Source organism: Homo sapiens, chromosome 15 (genome assembly GCF_000001405.40).
Source record: "Homo sapiens chromosome 15, GRCh38.p14 Primary Assembly".
In the NCBI taxonomy this organism is placed as follows: Eukaryota; Metazoa; Chordata; class Mammalia; order Primates; family Hominidae; genus Homo; species Homo sapiens.
This window is the reverse complement of record NC_000015.10, coordinates 64,389,986-64,411,442: the sequence shown is the minus strand read 5'-3', so window position 1 is coordinate 64,411,442 and position 21,457 is coordinate 64,389,986. Positions and strand designations below refer to the sequence as shown.

The window sequence follows — 21,457 nt, the reverse complement described above, 5'->3', positions numbered from 1 at the left end:
AGGAATATACAGAGGTTATCCACATTCCCTGAGACCTCCCAAATACATAGCCTCCCCCATTATTAGCATCCCTCACCAGAGTGGTACATTTGTTACAACTGATCAACCTACATTGACACATCATTATCACCCAAAAGCCATAGTTTACATTAGCGTTCACTCCTGGTATTGTACAATTTATGGGTTTGGACAAATTTATAATGACATGTATTTACCATTATAACTACATACAGAGTAGTTTCACTGCTTTAAAAATCTTCTCTGTGCTCCTTCTATTTATTCCTCCCTCTCTTCTAATCCCTGGAACTACTGAATAGTTAAAATCATACAGTATGTAGGCTGCATCATTTTAATACTCCCATTCACAGTAACAGAATATCCCCATTTTCCTATACCCACACAATATGCAATATTATCCTTTAAAAAAAATTTAAGCCAAATTTGATGAGCCAAAGAAAATTGATATATTGTTTTAAAATCTGTATTTCCTGATTGCTAGTTAAACATCTTTTCAAATGTTACTGGCTATTTGTACTTCCCCACTTGTAAATTGTTTTTAGTTTTTGTCCATTTTTCTGCTGGAGTTTTTGGTCATTTTCTTTTAATTTGCAAGAGTTCTTACTTATATAGTATGGATATTGTTCCTTTGACTGTTAAAACCACTTAAAATATTTTCTTCCAACTTGGTACTGTCTTTTTTATTTAAAATATCTTATATCTTCATGACTTCAGGATTTTGTATCTTGCTTAGGAAGAGCTTTATCACACCAAGACTATAATTATATTCTCCTATAATTCTGTATTTCTTTCTGATCCCTTTATATTGTTTATATTTAACTCTTTAGTGAAACTTATTACAGCATCATAGAATGGTCTGAGATAAAGACATTACCTAGATTTTTTTCTAAACAGGCAATTATCCCAAAATAACATATTTAATTATTGCTTTAGCAATTAAAAATGTTAGCTTTATTGATTACTAAACTCACATACATATATACACACACCCATGCACACATACAAACACAATGTAAACATACCAATCTCTTTCTGGATTCTGTTTCATTGATCTATTTCTGTGCCCATACTATATCTCATTGTTTTAAAAACTTTTTTTTGCTGAGCATGGTGACTCATGCCTATAATCCCAGCACTTTCAGAGGCTGAGGTAGGCGGATCACTTGAGGTCAGTAGTTTGAGACCAGCCTGGCCAACATGGTGAAAACCTGTCTCTACTAAAAATACAAAAATTAGCTGGGCATGGTGGTGGGCACCTGTAATCCCAGCTACTCAAGGGGCTGAGGCAGGAGAATGGCTTGAACCTGGGAGGCGGAGGTTGCAGTGAGCCAAGATCAGGCCACTGCACTCCAGCCTGGGCAACAAAGCGAGACTCCATCTCAAAAAAAAAAAAAAAAAAACCAAACCACAAAAATCAGTAATTATCTGGTAGGAGTGCTCATTTAAACATTTTTTCTTAGCTATTCTTAACATGTTTTCTGTTCCAAATAAACACATTTTTTAAATCAACAAAAATAAAAGATCCACTAGAAAGGGAAAATCCTTTATGGTCAACCTGTTCCTTCTTTGAGACCCTTTCTAGTGCTGCTCACTTACCTGCTATGATACTCTGCTAGTGAATTTTCTTCTTCCAGGATCTTCCTTCCTGCAAAGTCAATGGTGACCTTCTTAGAAAGTCGAGAGGCGTGTCGAAGTTCTCTCAGCTCCTCCTCTCGCTTCTGCAAGGTTTCCCGCTCAAGTTTGGACAACCATTGGTTAGAATCACTGGCAAAGTAATCTGACTCATCATCAATGACTTGGGTCCTTCGAATACTGAGAAAAAGGGAACACATGGTAATTAGGTCATCTGTTGACAAATAAGGACCGATTATTGGAAAACAGTTTCAAGGTAACTTAATATCTCAAATATGTTCCAAAATCAGGTCAAGCTCTGCATATGTTTTATCTCCAGTGTAGGCTCAGCTCCTAGAACTTATCTCAACCTCAGGCAAGAAAAGACACAGCACCATAATACATTTTCCTTCTACCTTTCATATTAGTCCAGCCTCTACCTTCTGAAAGCTGGGCTTCAGCCTGGTTTTGCTGCATCTGAGTTCAAGTTTGACAGCTTACTAAATATCCTAGTCCCTCTGTAACTGGGATCCAGCCTATTCTTGCTAGGCTTATTTGCTTACTGGAGTTCTATGCTTAAGTCTCAGTTCTGTAGCTTAACTATTTACCTTTTTTTTTTTTTTGAGACAGAGTCTCGTTCTGTCGCTCAGGCTGGAGTGCAGTGGTGTGACTGCCTCCTCAGTTCAAGCAGTTCTCTGCCTCAGCCACCTGAGTAGCTGGGATTATAGGCGCAACACCATGCCTGGCTAATTTTTGTATTTTTAGTAGGGATGGGGTTTCACCATCTTGGCTTGGCTGGTCTTGAACTCCTGACCTCGTGATCCACCCACCTTGGCCTCCCAAAGTGCTAGGATTACAGGTGTGAGCCACTGTGCCTGGCCAACTATTTACTCTTAAGACATTCTATTACCCTACTACTATATGTCATTACCTATACCCCACTTTGCAGGCTCTCACTAATGCACTGGGGCCAAGTTCCAAAATATGACAATTAGGCCTATCTCTAAGATCATACTGACAGAGACACTAAAACCTGGAAGGAATCTTGATGGTCTAACTCTCTAATTCTACATATTATAAACCTGGGGCTCATAGAAGTTGAGTGATTACTCCAATGTCATAAATCCAGTTAAGATTACGTTTCCCCATAATTACAAATAGTGACATAAATAGACATAAGGGAAATACTGAAGTTAGATTCATATATTGGCTTCAAATTTTCATACTCAGCTAGAATTATAAAAAAATTTTGTCAGCCGGGCACAGTGGCTCAACACCTGTAATCCCAACACTTTGGGAGGCTGAGGCGGACGGATCACAAGGTCAGGAGATCGAGACCATCCTGGCTAACACGGTGAAACCCCGTCTCTACTAAAAATACAAAAAAATTAGCTGGGCGTAGTGGCGGGCGCCTGTAGTCCCAGCTACTCAGGAGGCTGAGGCGGGAGAATGGCGTGAGTCCAGGGGGCGGAGCTTGCAGTAAGCCGAGATGGCGCCACTGCACTGCAGCCCAGGCGACAGAGCAAGACTCCATCTCAAAAAAAAAAAAAAAAAAAAAAAAAAATTTGTCTTCTTAGGCCAGGCACGGTGGCTCACACCTGTAATTCCAGCACTTTGGGAGGCCGAGGCTGGCGGATCAAAAAAAAAAAACAAAAATAAAGCAGACTTAGAGTAGAAACTTTTTTAACAGTACTCTGGAGGAATTTTTTTTTTTTTTTTGAGACAATCTCGCTGTGACACCCAGGCTGGAGTGCACTGGATTAATCTCGCCTCACTGTAACCTCCACCTCCCAGTCTCAATCAATACTCCCACCTCAGCCTCCCAAGTAGCTGGGATTACAGGCATGTAACATTACTCCTGGCTAATTTCTGTATTTTTTGTACAGACAGGGTTTTGCTATGCTGCCCAGGCTGCTCTCAAACTTACAGGCTCAAGCAATCCGTCTGCCTTGGCCTCCCAAAGTGCTAGGATTACAGGCGTGAGCCACTGTGCCTGGTGGAAATTGGTCTTATACAAAAACCTAGATAATGAAACTGGTATCCATGAATACACCAGCAAAACAGCAACAATAGGGAGAGACCCTTTTCCACTTTCTGTTTATCAAAAAGTAAGTGCATTCTATTTCTATTATTATTATTTTTTTTTTGAGACAGAGTCTCACTCTGTTGCCCAGGCTGGAGTGCAGTGGCACAATCTTGGCTCACTGCAAGCTCCGCCTCCTGGGTTCATGCCATTCTCCTGCCTCAGCCTCCCGAGTACCTGGGACTACAGGCACCTGCCACCACGCTTGGCTAATTTTTTTGTATTTTTAGTGAGATGGGGTTTCACTGTGTTAGCCAGGATGGTCTGGATCTCCTGATCTCGTGATCCACCTGCCTCGGCCTCCCCAAGTGCCGGGATTACAGGTGTGAGCCACCGTGCCCGGCTTCCATTTCTATTTCTAATAATACGTTCTACTGAGTAGGGTGAAATGTGATACTGAAAGGATGAAGAGTGAATATGAGTTATACACCTTGTGATGGGTTTATTTAAGGAATAGTTTTCTAAATCTTATCTCATGTATTCATAGCAAATGGTTTGGAAGTAGCAGGAATGTCCCATCAAAAGATTACACTGTCAGCAACAGACTCTCAGGTTACAAGAGATTCAGGGTCTCTCTGAGGACCCTCAGAGTCATTTGAGAAGGGAGCATATAAATCCTATCCAAACATTTTTTACCACTAACTGGTTTTCAACAAGTATTTTTTTCAAAAGAAAAAAAAATGTAAGTAAGGAGGAAGTCAAAAACAGAATTATCATAAATCTATCTCCTAAACAGAAGTCAATGGGCTAAACAATAATAATGCAGTAGTATAAAGCTAATTTAGTTGTATTTTAATATACCGATTATTGAATCAAAAAACAAATTTAGTCAAAGTAAAGGAGAAGGGTAAATCATGCCCTCCTATGATAGGGCATAACCTGTGTTCTCCCAGAGGCAATTCCTTACAGATTCTCCAGAGCCCAGCCTAACAGTTTGCAAATAACACGTACTCTAATACAGGTGACTGAATGAATGGCTACAAGTAAAACAAGTGGTGAATTCTGTCAACTCACATAACTGTCCAGGGGATATACTAACATTTGTCAGGAATCAAAAAATGCTACAGGACAGGATTCTTTTCATAGGAGCCTATATTATTCAACCGTGGATTAAAAAACAAGATGTAGGCCTCCTATGTAGAGCATCTGGCTCTTCTTTTGCTATAAACTCTTTCACACTCCACTTTGAGAAGGTATCAAGTACCAAAATAATGGCCAGAATCTGTGGACTAGTTTATTTCTTAGCATTTGTTATTCTAACCCTTTCATACCTAGTTCTGTCAAACTCTAACAGTTTGTCTTTATGCTTGATAGCCTTCTCCAGACCAGACTTAATTCGCAATTCTTGATGAGGAAGAAGGTCCTTGGTAGAGATGTCCACCTTTCCAGAATTCTCCACTCCTGAAATTCAATAAGGAAGTCAAATGGTGTCAGCCTCTAAATACAAATTAGTTGTACCAGTGTGCAACAAAGAACAAAACATCAGAAGATCTGGTTCTGGCCTGATGGCCTGGAGCCTTCATTTCAACAGAAAACAAGTACACAGTCCAGGCCTTACCTGTACAGCAGTAAGCAGTGCTTGACACATGACAGGTTTTCAATAAATGGCAGGGATCTTTTCTTCCTTTATAAAAATTTGGTTCACTAAGGGCACCAAAGTATTTAAGAATGTGACATAAAAATGCCTTCTCAGTGAAGAAGACATTTGCTCAATATTACCTTTAAATATACGTTTTTTCAAGACAGGATCTAATGCTGTTGCCCAGTCTGGAGTGCAGTAGTGTGATCATAGCTCACTGCAGTCTCAAACTCTTAGGCTCAGGCGATCCTTCCACCTCAGCTTCCTGAATAGCTGAGACAACAGGCACATGCCATTGTGTCTGAATTTTTAAATTTTTGTAGAGAGGCGGGTCTCACTATGTTGCTCAGGCTGGTTTCAAAGTCCTGGCTTCAAGCAATCCTCCCAACTCAGCACCTCAAAGTACTGGGATTCCAGACATGATCCACTATGCCAGCCTAAATATACGTTTATATTATCAAAACTAAACACTAAATAATGGAAGAAAAAAGAAAATTTCACAAAAGGGGCAGAAAAAATGAACAGTTTCAGTTTAATGAGAACCTGCTAAATGCTGAGTCACTTAGTATACATGTTATTTAATTTTCGCAATAACCCTGTAAGACAGTTTGTATTATCTTTATTTTACAGATAAAGTAACTGAAGTTCAGAGATGACTATAAATTTACTGAGTTCACACAGTTAGAAATTAGACCAGTGGCCGGGTGCAGTGGCTCACGCCTGTAATCCCAGCACTTTGGGAGGCTGAGGCGGGCGGATCATGAGGTCAGGAGATCGAGACCATCCTGGCTAACATGGTGAAACCCTGTCTCCACTAAAAATACAAAAAATTAGCCAGGCATGGTGGCAGGCACCTGTAGTCCCAGCTACTTGGGAGGCTGAGGCAGGACAATGGCATGAACCTGGGACGCTGAGCTTACAGTGAGCCGAGACCGTGCCACTGCACTCCAGCTTGGGCGACAGAGCAAGACTCCATCTCAAAAAAAAAAAAAAGAAAAGAAAAAGAAATTAGACCATAGAAACAAAATCTGAGCTCGAGTATAACTCTAAAGCCAACATTGATTCCATGGTTGTGTTTTCTTCTTTGACAGCATATTGTAAATTTGTATATCCCAGAAAAGAGAGCCATAGATTATGATACACCCAAGATCCAAAATGGGTTAGGTGGCTGTGTGCAGTGGCTCACTCCTGTAATTGCAGCACTTTGGGAGGCTGAGGTGGGAGGATCACTTGAGCCTAGGAGTTCAAGACTAGCCTGGGCAACATGGTGAGAGCCCATCTGTACAAACAATTTAAAAATTAGCCAGACACGGTGGTACAAGCCTGTAGATCCAGCTACTTGGGAGGCTGAGGCAGGAGAATTGCTGCAGTAAAATGTGTTCATACCAATGTACTCCAGCCTGACAGAGACCGTCTAAAAACAAACAAACAAACAAGGACAGTACGTACAATCAGAACTATTTTTTCTCAGAATGATTACCTTAAAATCTAATTGAAAAAAACATAGAGGCATGTGCAACCTCATTAATAATAAAATTACAGGCCGAGCGCGGTGGTTCATGCCTGTAATCCCAGCATTTTGGGAGGCCAAGGTGGGTGGATCACCTGAGGTCAGGAGGCCTGGCCAACATGGCAAAACCCTGTCTCTACTATAAATGCAAAAATTAGCTGGGTGTGGTGGCAGGCGCCCGCAATCCCAGCTACTTGGGAGGCTGAGGCAGGAGAATTGCTTGAACCTGAGAGGCAGAAGTTGCAGTGAGCCAAGATCACGCCACTGCACTCCAGCCTAGGTGACAGAGACTCTGTCTCAAAACAAATAAATAAATAAAAATAAAAATAAAAAATAATAAAATTACAGCCTTTTACAACTAAAACAAATTTGAAATGTCAAAACTCAAGAGTGAACAGGATTCTGGGTACAATGCTAATATTGCTATAGATTAATATGATTTTTTTTTTTTGAGATGGAGTTTCACTCTCGTTGCCCAGGCTGGAGTGCAATGGTGCAATCTCGGCTCACTGCAACCTCCGCCTCCGGGGTTCAAGCAATTCCCAGCCTCAGTCTCCTGAGTAGCTGGGATTACAGGCATGTGCCACCATGCACGGCTAATTTTGTGTTTTTGGTAGAGACGGGGTTTCTCCACATTGGTCAGGCTGGTCTCAAACTCCCAACCTCAGGTGATCCGCCCGTCTCGGCCTCTCAAAGTGCTAGGATTACAGGCATGAGCCACCATGCCCGGCTATTTATATATTTTGACAAAATAATCTGGCAAATACATCTCAAGTGTCAAAAAAAGACACATTATTTGACATAGTAACATTATTCTTAGCAATTTATCACAAGGAAGTAAATCAAAAGCTATGTTAATAAAGGTGACAATTTGTAATATTATTTAAAATTTGGAAACAAATATCCAGTAATTAGGAAATAATCATACTATAATAAACCAAGTTAAAAGACTATTTTTAGCTACTAAAAACAATTATGAATATATAGCAAGATGGCAGCTAATTATGAATTAGTTGGAAAATGGAAAAACAAATGTTTTTACACAGATGACTACATTATAATCCCAACAAATCTGTCGATATAAAACAAAAACTACTATGAACCAAGGTAGGAACAAAATGAAATATTTGCGTAAGTAGTGAGTAATGAGTATATTGTTTTTCTTTTTAATAGTGTCCTTAACTGCTGGGCGCGGTGGCTCATGCCTGTAATTCCAGCACTTTGGGAGGCCGAGGCGGGTGGAACACGAGGTCAAGAGATCAAGACCACCATGGCCAACCAACATGGTGAAACCCCATCTCTACTAAAAATACAAAATTTAACTGGGCATAGTGGTGCACGCCTGTAGTCCCAGCTACGTGGCAGGCTGAGGCAGGAGAATCGCTTGAACCCAGGAGGCAGAGGTTGCAGTCAGCCAAGATTGCGCCACTGCACTCCAGCCCGGGCGAAAGAGCGAGACTCCGTCTAAAAAAAATTAAAAATAGGGGTGCGGTGGCTCGCGCCTGTAATCCCAGCACTTTGGGAGGCCAAGGCAGGTGGATCACAAGGTCAGGAGATCGAGACCATCTTGGCTAACACAGTGAAACACCGTCTATACTAAAAAAATACAAAAAAATTAGCCGGGCATGGTGGCGGGCGTCGCCAGTCTCAACTACTCAGGAGGCTGAGGCAGGAGAATGGCATGAACCTGGGAGATGGAGCTTGCAGCGAGCCGAGATCACGCCACCACACTCCAGCCTGGGCGACAGAGCGAGACTCCATCTCAAAACTAACTAACTAAATAAATAATAAATAAATAAAAATAATGTCCTTAACTGACCAAGTGCGGTGGCTCACGCCTGTAATCTCAGCACTTTGGGAGGTTGAGGTGGGCAGATCATCTGAGGTCAGGAGTTCGAGACCAGCCTAGTCAACATGGGAGAACCCCATCTCTACTAAAAATACAAAAAAATTAGCTGGACAAGGTGGCATGCGCTTGTAATCCCAGCTACTTGAGAGGCTGAAGCAGGAGAATCACTTGAACCCAAGTGGCGGAGGTTGCAGTGAGCTGAGATCGCGCCATTGCACTCCAGCCTGGGCAACAAGAGCAAAACTCCGTCTCAGAAAAAAAAAAAAAAATGTTGGCCGGGCGCGGTGGCTCACACCTTAATCCCAGCACTTTGGGAGGCTGAGGTGGGTGGAACACCTGAGGTCGGGAGCTCAAGACCAGCCTGACCAACATGGAGAAACCCTGTCTCTACTAAAAATACAAAATTAGTCAGGGTGGTGACGCATGCCTGTAATCCCACCTACTGGGGAGGCTGAGGCAGAAGAATCGCTTGAACCTGGGAGGCGAAGGCTGCGGTGAGCCGAGATCACACCATTGCACTCCAGCCTGGGCAAAAAGAGTGAAACTCCGTCTCAAAAAAAAAAAAAATGTCCTTAACCATTTTTGTCAGGTGTGTTTCAAGCATAAAAGGCATGCAAAATAATTAGAAAATAAGTAGAGTTCCTATATAACCTTCACATAGCTTCCTTTAATGTTACCATCTTATCTTACAAAACCATAGTACAATTATCAAAACTAAGAAATTAATATTGGTATAATACTATAGACAGACTATTTGGATTTTAACATTTTTTTCCCATTAATGTCATTTTTCTATTCTAGGATCTAATACTGGATCTATACTGCAATTAGTCGTCATATATATCCTTAATCTACTCTGATCTGTGACGTTTCTTCAATCTTTTCTTGTCTTTCATGACATTGTAAATCTCTTGTTCTTAAACTTTCAACCAATAATTTCAGTATCCATTGGTGGATCGTGCTTGTGGCAGTTACTACTGTAGTGTTCTAATTGTGATTTTCTAGTATTTTCATTTCTTGTACTTTATTAACTGGAATTCTTTTATAAGAAGTTGTCCTTTCTCCATTTTATTAACTTATTCAGTTATTTATACAAGTATGGTCACATGGATATTAATTTTATTTAGATTATAATGTAATACTATTATTTATTTTGCTGTTCAATGTTATGTAGTCTTAATAATTTTTCTAAAAAATAGATGCTTATAGAATGAGTGAATAGGCCAGGCACAGTGGGTCACATCTGTAATCCCAGTGCTTTGGGAGGCCGAGGCAGGCAGATCACTTGAGGTCATGAGTTCAAGACCAGCCTGGCCAACATGGCAAAACCCCACCCCTACTAAAAAAATGTAAATATTGGCTGGGCGTGGTGGCTTATGCCTGTAATCTCAGCACTTTGGGAGGCCAAGGTGGGCAGATCATGAGGTCAGGAGATCAAGACCATCCTGGCTAACATGGTGAAACCCCATCTCTACTAAAAAATACAAAACATTAGCCAGGCATGGTGGCATGTGCCTGTAGTCCCAGCTACTTGGCAGGCTGAGGCAGGAGAATTGCTTGAACCCAGAAGGCAGAGGTTGTAGTGAGCCGAGATCAGCGCCACTACACTCCAGCCTGGGTGACAGAGCGAGACTCCATCTCAAAAAAAAAAAAAAAAGTAAATATTAGCTACGCGTGGTGGCACACGCCTGCAATCCCAGCTACTAGGGAGTTTGAGGCAGGAGAATCACTTGAACCCAGGAGGCGGAGGTTGCAGTAAGCCAAGATCGCGTCACTGCTCTCCAGCCTGGGTGATAAGAGTGAGACTCCACATCAAAACAAAACAAAACAAAACAAAAAAAACCCCCCAAAAAAACTGAGAATGAGTGAATAAACTGCATCTTGCACTCCAGGATACAGAAAAGAGAAACAACCACAGACGCAACAAGGTACCCATCATCCCAGTGATCCAATTACAAGACTGCTGTCTACCTGACATGAGTTTCTTTAGCAGTTTCTGGCTCTTGTTTGAGTCACGCTGTAAAATATCTTGTTCCTCATGAGTACACACCTGTAAAATAGTAAGAGTAAGACATGTGATCCAACAGTTAAATTATATTGCTTTCTTGATATATCTAAAAGTAACCTGAAATTACACATTAGATGATGATAAAATAATGAGACTATTGGTGTTTTTTAATCCAAACACACCAAAATATAAAAATGCAAATGAGTTTTCTCCAGATCTCTTTCCATTTCTTTTTTATGACCCAAACAAAAAACTTATATCACTGCACATGTCCCTGAATGACTTAATGGTTTAGAAAAAAAAAAAAAAAAGGCTGGGCACAGTGGCTTATGACTGTAATCCCAGCACTTTGGGAGGCTGAGGTGGGCAGATTGCTTGAGTGCAGGAATTCGAGACCAGCCTGGGCAACATGGCCAAACCCCATTTCAACAAAAAAATGCAAAAATTAGCCTGGCGTGGTGGTGTGTGCCTATAGTTCCAGCTACTTAGGAGCTGGGACTTCTTTGTAGATATGGGGTTTTGCCATGTTGCCCAGGCTGGTCCTGAACTCCTGGGCTCAAGCAGTCTTCCCTCCTCAGCCTCCGAAAGCAATGGGATTATAGGCATCAGCCACCATACCTGGCTTCTGGTTCTTTCTAATAAGACATCTTCTTATAATTAACTTCTCTTGTCAGATTTGGGCTTCATGATTAGAACTGGGTTGCTTTTTATGGTAAAGTCACATATGTTTTATCTAGTATTCTCAACAGTGAGAAATATTTATCTTTGAGAGTACGTTATTTTTTCTTTTTTTCTTTCTTTTTTTTTTTTTGAGCAGGGTGTGGCTTTGTCACCCAGACTGGAGTGCGGTGGCACCATCTCTGCTCACTGCAACCTCCACCTCCCGGGCTCAAGTCATCCTCCCAACTCAGCCTTCCAAAGTGCTGGGATTACAGACATAAGCCAGCATGCCTGGCCTGAGACTCTGTCTAAAAAACAAACAAGGGCCAGGCGCAGTGGCTCATGCCTGTAATCCCAGCACTTTGGGAGGCCGAGGCAGGTAGATCACCTGAGGTCAGGAGTTCAATTGAGCGTGGTCAATATAGAGAAACCCTGTCTCTACTAAAAATACAAAAATTAGCTGGGCGTGGTAGTGGGCACCTGTAATCCCAGCTACTCAAGAGGCTAAGGCAGGAGAATCACTTGAACTTGAACCCAGGAGGCGGAAGTTGCAGTGAGCCACTGCACTCCAGGCTGGGCAAGAGAGTGAGACTCCATCTCAAAAAACAAACAAACAAACAAACTTCAAGGCCAATCTGCTTTACATTACTTCAAGGGACCTAGGAGAAAACACTGTACAATACTTCCTAGCAGTTGCCTCAATGACACACAGAGTTCCTGCCAGCAGCTATAAGAGCTTGCTCTAAAGAGAAAGCTCCATATGGGAGGAGATTTACTGCCATTTAATGGACATTTTTATTGGTAGACACTACATTTTTCAGGTCATCCATTGTCTATCAGCTTATTCTGAGCATATGAAAAAATTAAGGGTCCCACCAGGCACGGTGGCTCACACCTGTAATCCCAGCACTTTGGGAGGCTGAGATGGTTGGATCACCTGAGGTCAGGAGTTCTGAGACCAGCTTGACCAATATGGTGAAACCCTGTCTCTACTAAAAATACAAAAAATTAGCTGGGCGTGGTGGTGTGTCCCTGTTGTCCCAGCTACTAGGGAGGCTGAGACAGGAGAATTGCTTGAACCCAGGAGGCAGAGGTTGCAGTGAGCCGAGATTGTGCCACTGCTCTCCAGCCTGGGCGACAGAGTGAGACTCCGTCTCAAAAAAAAAAAAAAAAAAAAAAAAAAAAGGAAAAAAGAAAAAATTAAGGGCCCCATCAGAAAAGAGGAGAAAATGAAGTAATATAAAACGGATGCCTTTACCAACACCAAATGTCATTGCTTCTGACAGCCAGCTCAACTTGGTAAAATTAGCTTTCTAGATAGCTCATTAAGGGTTTCTGTGAGTCATTATCACTGCATTCTTGAGGTCATTCTCTCAGACAAAGCAGAGCTATGACAAGGTGGAATCCTGGAAATAGAAGCTATAATGATCTGAGGATTCTGTCACAGTGGCTCCTAGCCCTTGGATCTCTCAACAATGTATGTTCTCAAACCCTTCTCATTAATGGCCTCAGTACTAGGATATAACCTGGGGTTCTTTCTTTCTTCTGAGATAAGGACTCGCTGTCTCACTGCAGCCTGGACGTCCTGGGATCAAGTGAAGCTCCCATTTCAGCCCCTCATGTAAATGCTACCACAGGTGTGCACCACCATACCCAGCCCAGCTAATTAAAAACTTTTTTTTTTTTTTTTTTTTTTTTTTGTAGAGACAGGGTCTTCCTACATTGCCCAGGCTGGTCTCAAACTCCTGGGCTCAGGTGATCCTCCCACCTCAGCCTCCCAAAACCCACCTTGGCTTCCCAAAGTGTTGGGACTACAGGCGTGTGCCACTGTGCCTGGCCTAACCTTGGGTTTCTAACTAATCATATCCCTGACACTCGAGTTCACTGGATATTTTAGGGAAGAAATTTACTAAGAAAAAGAGAAAGCCAGGCACGGTGGCTGACGCCTGTAATCCCAGAACTTTGAGAGGCCGAGGTGGGCGGATCACAAGGTCAGGAGATCGAGACCATCCTGGCTAACACTGTAAAATCCCGTCTCTAATAAAAATACAAAAAAATTAGCTGGGCGTGGTGGCAGGCACCTGTAGTTCCAGCTGCTCGGGAGGCTGAGGCAGGAGAATGGCATGAACCCGGGAGGCAGAGCCTGCAGCGAGCCGAGATCGTGCCACTGCACTCCAGCCTGGGCGACAAAGTGAGACTCCGTCTCAACCAAAAAAAAACAAAAAAAGAGAAATTACTTGAGATCTGACTGGCTCTGCGTATTAACACAAAGCACAGTAAAATAAAATAGAAAAGAAATAATTTACCAGAGTGCCACAGAATAAGCAAGGGCCTGAGCCTTCTTGTTCACAGACAATGCGCCCACAGATCAGACAGTTATTGATGAGCTTGTGCTTCTGGCCCAGGCAATCACAAGGGTGACGACCAGGGAGCAGGACTGCAAGCCTGTCCTGTCCCTCTCTTGTGTATAAATTGACAAACTTTGTCTTCTTCTTTACGGAGTTGCTGTTCTCTTGTGCCTATCGTACAAAGACATCAAAATAACATCAAATAATTAATGACAATGTAAAAAGTCAAGGGAGAAAATGCTCCGTTCTGTTCAGTAACAACTTATATACTATCCAAGAACCAAGAAAGAAGGCAGTGAAAGGAAGAAATACAAATTAGTTATAATCAAGGTTCTGAGGAAAGGTTATACTCTAGAAAAACTAGCTGATAATTACCTTGTCTTTTCTGCTAGTAGCTTTCAGCCCATTACTATAGCTAGTGGAGGGTAAATGTAGCAGTTAAATCTGTTTATATGACATCTTTAAGCACAGCTAAATTGGAGATCATAAGAAACAAGAATGCCTCTAAAAGCAGATGATATTCACAGATTTGGAAATATGGGCCATCAATAAAATAGGAAAAATAAATATAAAGTTGACTTAATCAGAAACCACTAAGAAAAGGACAGATAATACAATAGAAAAACAGAAGGTGGAGGTTGCAGTTAGTCGAGTTGACGCCACTGGGCAACAGAGCGAGATCCTATCTCAAACAAAAAAAGGGCAAAAAAAACCTAATAAGAACTTCATAACAAAAGATATCCTAATGACTAACAGGCATATGAAAAAGTGCTCAATTTCATTAGTCGTCAAAATAATGCAAAAACGAAAACAAAATGCAATACCACTAAATACCAACCAGAATGGCTAAACTGAAAAAGAGAAAATATGAAGTGTTAGCAAAGATACAAAAGAATTAGACCTCTCATACACTGCTGGCAGGACTGCAAACTCATATCAACTGAAGTTGAACATATGCATGTTCTATGACACAGCAATTCAACTCCTAGATATATACTAAACAGAAATGTGTAAATATGTTCACCAAAAATACATACAAGAATGTTCACTGTTGCATTGGAATTGGAAACTATCCAAATAATAGAATGGATAAATTGTGATGTGTTCACTTAATACAATTCTGTGTAGCAATGAGAATGAGAAAGTATAGCTGCCCAGAGTAGAGATGAATCTCATAAATTGAAAGAAGCTAGACACTGGCTGGGCACAGTTGCTCATGCCTGTAATCCCAGCACTTTGAGAAGCCAAGGCAGGCAGATTGCTTGAGGTCAGGAGTTCAAGACCAGCCTGGCCAACATGGTGAAACCCCATCTCTACTAAAAATACAAAAATTAGCTGGGTGTGGTAGCATGTGTGCCTGTAATCACAGCTACTTGGGAGACTGAGGCAGGAGAATCGTTTGAACCAGGGAGGCAGAGGTTGCAGTGGGCCAAGATTGCGCCACTGCACTCCAGCCTGGGTGACAGAGCAAGACTCCGTCTCAAAAAAAAAAAAAAAAAAAAAAAAAAAAGCAGCTAGATACAAGAGTACACACTATTTAGCTCCATTAATTTAAAGTTCAAAAACAGGGCTGGGCGCGGTGGCTCACGCCTGTAATCCTAGCACTTTGGGAGGCCAAGGTGGGTGGATTGCCTGAGCTCAGCAGCTCAAGACCAGCTTGGGCAACTCGGTGAAACCCCATCTCTACTAAAATACGAAAAATTAGCTGGGCGTGGCAGTGTGCGCATGCAGTCCCAGCTACTTGGGAGGCTGAGGCAGGAGAATCGCTTGAACCCAGGAGGCAGAGGTTGTGGTGAGCTGAGATTACACCACTGCATTCCAGCCTGGGCGACAGAGCGAGACTCTGTCTCAAAAAAAAAAAAAAGAAAATTAGCTGGGTATGGTGGCGCATGCCTGTAGTCCCAGCTATTCGGGAGACTGATGCAGGAGAATCACTTGAACCCAGGAAGCGGAGGTTGCAATGAGCAGAGATCGCACCACTGCACTCCAGACTGGAAACAGAGCAAGACTCTGTCTTGGGGAAAAAAAAAAAAAAAAGCAAAGATGTCTTTATAATACTAATCAGGTTGCCAAACAAAAAATCTACCATATAGAAAGGAGTATATGTAACTTTTTCTACCTAAAATTCATGCATTTGTTGAAAAATTGCCATTCTAGACCAATTTGTACACTTTGCTCTCTGAAATGTATTAGTCACTTCCTCTTCTCCAATAGTCAGAAAAAGCTTCAATCTATAAGCACTCACCTTGGCCAAATCAAAAGGTGTTTTAACCTCTGCAGTCGTGTCAGGTTCAGTAAATGCAGGAACTTCCTGTCTGTTTCTCCCTTTCTTCCTACCCCGCTTTAGATGGTCGCCTGATTTCTGCCCATCTAAAATTTCTTTAAAGATAGAAAAAAAAAAATACACACACACACAGATTGATAAGAGGATTCCTGGTGAACTAATATAGCTAATAAACTAAGGTGATGCTTAATATTTAGAGTCAAGATATCATCAGGAAGATTTTTAATTATCTTTTCCTGTCAAACCAGAATTAAATTTAAATCATCATTTCCAAGAGTGCAGTCAATGAAAAAGAAGTCAAACAAGTGGCTGGGACTAAGAAGTTAAATTAAAATCTGATATTCTAAAATCAGGCTTAGTGGCTCACATGCATAATCCCAGCACTTTGAGAGGCCGAGACAGGTGGACCGTTTGAACCAAGGAGTTTGAGAGCACCCTGGACAACAGAGTGAGACCCTATCTCTAGAAAAAAATACAAAAATTAGCCAGGTGTGGTAACACACGCCTGTAGTCCCAGCTACTCAGGAGGCTGAGGTGGGAGAATCATCTGAGCCCAGGAAGCAGAGGCTGCAGTGAGCTAGGATCAAGCCACATCACTCCAGCCTGGGCAATGAAAGTGAGACCATGTCTCAAAACAAACAAAATTCTGATATTGTAGATTGCATAATAACTTAGATTATTTAGTTTGGTGCTTATCTTTTGTACTATTTAAGCAGTTATCTCTAAATGCTATTCATACTATAGTCAATCAACACTTTACTTACATCCAGGTATGCACGACTGAAAAATGTTTCTTTATGTATAAATTTTTCAAATTATTCTGAAGCCACATTTGTGTCTGTAAACACACATTTTTTTGTGATATTTTCCTTTTTTTTTTTTTTTTTTGAGATGGAGTCTCGCTCTGTCGCCCAGGCTGGAGTGCAGTGGTGCTATCTCAGCTCACTGCAAGCTCCACCTCCCAGGTTCACGCCATTCTCCTGCCTCAGCCTCCTGAGTAGCTGGGACTACAGGCGCCTGCCTCCATGCCTGGCTAACTTTTTGTATTTTTAGTAGAGATGGGGTTTCACCGTGTTAGCCACGATGGTCTCGATCTCCTGACCACGTGATCCGCCCACCTCAGCCTCCCAAAGTGCTGGGATTACAGGCGTGAGCCACCACGCCCGGCCTTTTTGTGATATTTTCTAAGTTGAAAAAGAACTAGAGCAATATTCATTACGGATTGAGTAGAACCGAACTAAAAATATGTATACATATGACTCTGTTTAAGTTAGCTGTGAAGAAACACAAGATGGCAAAAAAAAAAATAATAATAATAATTCTTTAAGCCTGCCCACTTACCAATATTTCAACATTTGCATAATTACATTAACTTACCATCTTTTTTGAAGCACTGCTGCAAAGGATCCGAAATCAACTCCTGATCATTCTTTTGCCATTTGGTTATAAGTTCTTCTATGAATTGACCTTTTTTGCCTTCATTTCCCTGGAGGAGATCAGTAACATATTCTCGTATCTCTTCAGCACTCTCAATTGACAAAACGTACCTCAGGAGGCAAAGATATAAGTTGTTGAAACAAGACTAACTTACACTGTTTCTCAGTAATCTTAACAGAGATCTAGGTAGTAAAAACCATTCATTAATCTATTAGAGTGTTTACTTTGAGCCAAGTACTATGCTAGGTGCTAGAAATACGATACGATCCTAACTGGTATGAATGTATACATACATACACTTATGTGTAGGAAAAAAACAACGTTATACACCAAAACGATTACTAGTGAGTGATGGAATTAAAGGTAGTTTTATTTTTATTTTCTTTTTTCCTACAATAAATACGTTTTTAAAATGTATTACATTATAATATATATGGGAAAAAAGAGAAAGAAACAGTGCTTATTTCTGGGTTGTAGTATTATGGTAATTTTAGTTTACTTTTTTATCCTTTTCTGATTTTTTTAGTTTTCTACAGTGAACATCTTATCATTACAAGAGAAAGAAGTGATAAAAATTACTTATAAATTAACACATAAGCGGCCGGGCGCGGTGGCTCACACCTGTAATCCCAGCACTTTGGGAGGCCGAGGCGGGCGGATCACCAGGTCAGGAGATCGAGACCATCCTGGCTAACACGGTGAAACCCTGTCTCTACTAAAAAAAAAAAACAAAAAAAAATTAGGCGGGTATGGTAGCAGGCGCCTGTAGTCCCAGCTACTCGGGAGGCTGAGGCAGGAGAATGGTGTGAACCCAGGAGACAGAGCTTGCAGTGAGCTGAGATCGTGCCACTGCACTCCAGCCTGGGCAAGTGAGACTTCCTCTCAAAAAAAAAAAAAAAAAAAATTAACATACAAGACACTGAAAACAGCACAGAAACTGTAATTCAGACACAATGATATGGAATGCAAGAAAAATTATTACCATAGTGCTATATCCTTTAACTTTTTAAAAATTATGAAATTGTCCTATGATTGGTATCGTATGTACTGCATTCTTTTCACAGTGTAATGGTGGAATTGCAGAATTATGCTCTAGAGGTAAACAAATTTGTGCCTTTGGGCCTCACTAAGAGAATATTCTGTCTGGGTTCGGGAGCCCATGCCTGTAATCCCAACAATTTGGGAGGCTGAAGCTGGAGGATCACTTGGGCCCAGGAGTTTGAGACCAGCCTGGGCAACATAGGGAGACCTTGTCTCTAGAAGAAAAATTAAAATTAGCCAGGCATGGAGGCATGTTCCTGTAGTCCTAGCTACTTGGGAGGCTGAGGTGGAAGGATCCTTTGAGTCTCAGAGGTGAAGGCTGCAGAGCCATGATTGCACCACTACATTCCAGCCTGAGCAACAGAATGAGACTCTGTCTCAAACAAGCAAAAACGGTGGGGCATGATGGCTCCCAGCACTTTGGGAGGCTGAGGCGGGTGGATCACCTGAGGTCAGGAGTTAGAGACCAGCTTGGCCAACATGGTGAAACCGTCTCTACTAAAAATACACACACACATACACACACCCCCCAAAAACAGGCATCTTCTAATTACTATGGATTAGAAAAGACAATGGTTTTTCAGGACTTACACATTTTAATCATCTTGATCCCCAAACTTACCAGTCCCCACCAAAAGATTAACTGCTATCAAAGACTTGCAAAACTGTAAGGAATCCCAAGGGATCATTTAACCCTGGAGGGTTTTTTTGTTTTTTCAGACAGAGTCTCATTTAGTCTCCCAGGCTGGAGTGCAGTGGTGCGATCTCAGCTCACTGCAAACTCCATCTCCCAGGTTCAAGCGATTCTCCTACCTCAGCCTCCTGAGTAGCTGGGATTACAGGCGTGCACAACCACACCCGGCTAATTTTTGTTTTGTTTTGTTTTGTTTTTGCTTTTTTTTAGTAGAGACGGGGTTTCACTATGTTGGCCAGGCTGGTCTCGAAGTCCTGACCTCAAGTGATTTGCCCGCCTCAGCCTTCCAAAGTGCTGGAATTACAGGCTGAGCCGCTGCACCTGGCTTTTTTTTTTTTTTTTTTTTTTTTGAGACAGAGTCTCACTCTGTCACCCAGGCTGGAGTGCAGTGGTGCTATCTTGGCTCACTGCAACCTCTGGCTCCTAGGTTCAAGAAATTCTCCTGCCTCAGCCTCCTGAGTAGCTGGGATTGCAGGCGTGCACCACTGCGCCCGGCTAATTTTTTGAATTTTTAGTAGAGACAAGGTTTTGCCATGTTGGGCAGGCTGGTCTTGAACTCCTGACCTCAAGTGATCAACCCACCTCAGCCTCCCAAAGTGCTGGGATTACAGGTTGAGCCACTGCACCTGGCCAACCCTGGAGTATTTTTCAAACAACCAGGGAAGAGAGTTTCAGAACCATTTGAATAAATGTCATTTTAACTACTTAACAAGGTATAATAAAGAACAACATTCATCCAAATATGTTATATACCAAATCTTATCAAAATAATATGAACTCATCCAGATTGTGGACCAAAGTTTATTTTGTTAACTCTGTGGATAGCTATTTATGTCTTATAAATGTATCACTAATTAGAAAGTTAAGGCCGGGTGCAGTGGCTCACACCTGTAATCCCAGCACTTTGGGAGGCTGAGGCGGGCAGACCACGAGGTCAGGAGACCGAGACCATCCTGGCCAACCTGGTGGAATCCCATCTCCACTAAAAATACAAAAATTAGCTGGGCATGGTGTCACGCGCCTGTAGTCCAAGCTACTGGGGAGGCTGAGGCAGGAGAATTGCTTGAACCTGGGAGGTGGAGGTTGCAGTGAGCCGAGATCCTGCCACTGCACTCCAGCCTGGGCGACAGAGTGAGACTCCGTCTCAAAAAAGAAAAAAAAAAAAGTTAATAGCTCTGTGCTATTTCAAAAATTCAGTCCACTCATATAAAATTGTTCAAGTTAGTACATTACTGTAGTACATACACCTGGGTAATTCTCAATTAAATGCCAGGCAAGGCACAGCAAATGCTTTCATCATGGCATAATAGCCTGTTGTGGAATACTAGTGAATACCTAACAAATGCTTCAAATAGTATCTTAGCGTAATACATGCCGACGGGCACTGACCTCCTTCCCAGGCGGAATATAATTTTTTTTTTTTTTTGAGACGGAGTCTCGCTCTGTCGCCCAGGCTGGAGTGCAGTGGTGAGATATTGGCTCACTGCAACCTCTGCCTCCTGGGTTCAAGCGATTCTCCTGCCTCAGCCTCCCGAGTAGCTGGGATTACAGGTGCCCGTCACCATACCTGGCTAATTTTTTTTTGTATTTTTAGTAGAGACGGGGTTTCACCATGTTGGCCAGGCTGGTCTCGAACTCCTGACCTCAGGTGGTCCACCTGCCTTGGCCTCCTAAAGTGCTAGGATTACAGGCGTGAGCCACCACGCCTGGCCTGAGAACGCATTTTCTTGATACTGTGTAATCCAAACAAAATACAACTGGATTCTAGACTGAGAAGACTACATCTATCATTCTTACCCTATTTCAAATTGTTAATTTATCAAAAATAGCCTCAATCTTTCTTTTTTCCTTTTTTTTTTTGAGACGAGGTCTCACTCTGTCACCCAGGATGGAGTGCAGTGGTGCGGTATCAGCTCACTGCAACCTCTGCCCCGCGGTTCAAGGGATTCTCCTGCCTCAGCCTTCCGAGTAACTGAGATGACCTGCACGCTCCACCACACCCGACTAAGTTTTGTATTTTTAGTAGAGTGGGGGTTTCGCCATGTTGGCCAGGCTGGTCTGAAATTCCTGACCTCAAATGATCCATCTGCCTCGGCCTCCCAAAGTGCTTAGATTACACACATGAACCACTGCGCCTGGCCACCTCAATCTTTTTTTTTTAATACTGTATTTAATATAATACACATATTTAATATATTTAATATAATATTTGATATATTTAATATTTAATATATTTAATATAATATTTGATATATTTAATATTTAATATATTTGATATTTAATATATTACACATATTTACAATAAATATGTGAAAATTGGGCCAGGCGTGGTGGC

General features: G+C 41.8%; 1 protein-coding gene across 3 annotated transcripts in view; it reads right to left on the bottom strand.

Annotated features, from left to right (window-relative positions):
* Nucleotides 1–21,457, bottom strand: part of TRIP4 (thyroid hormone receptor interactor 4) — a 67,468-nt gene that overhangs the window by 43,861 nt on the left and 2,150 nt on the right. For all 3 annotated transcript variants that reach the window (NR_135855.2, NM_001321924.2, NM_016213.5), the window contains exons 2-7: nucleotides 17,328–17,497; nucleotides 15,912–16,045; nucleotides 13,625–13,837; nucleotides 10,622–10,700; nucleotides 4,984–5,113; nucleotides 1,615–1,830 (exon numbers count right to left, since the gene is read on the bottom strand). Coding sequence is in view for 2 of the 3 variants with exons in the window: in NM_016213.5 (NP_057297.2) it covers nucleotides 1,615–1,830; nucleotides 4,984–5,113; nucleotides 10,622–10,700; nucleotides 13,625–13,837; nucleotides 15,912–16,045; nucleotides 17,328–17,497 (942 nt within the window). In the remaining variant the exon portion in view is untranslated. The remainder of the gene's footprint in view (nucleotides 1–1,614; nucleotides 1,831–4,983; nucleotides 5,114–10,621; nucleotides 10,701–13,624; nucleotides 13,838–15,911; nucleotides 16,046–17,327; nucleotides 17,498–21,457) is intronic.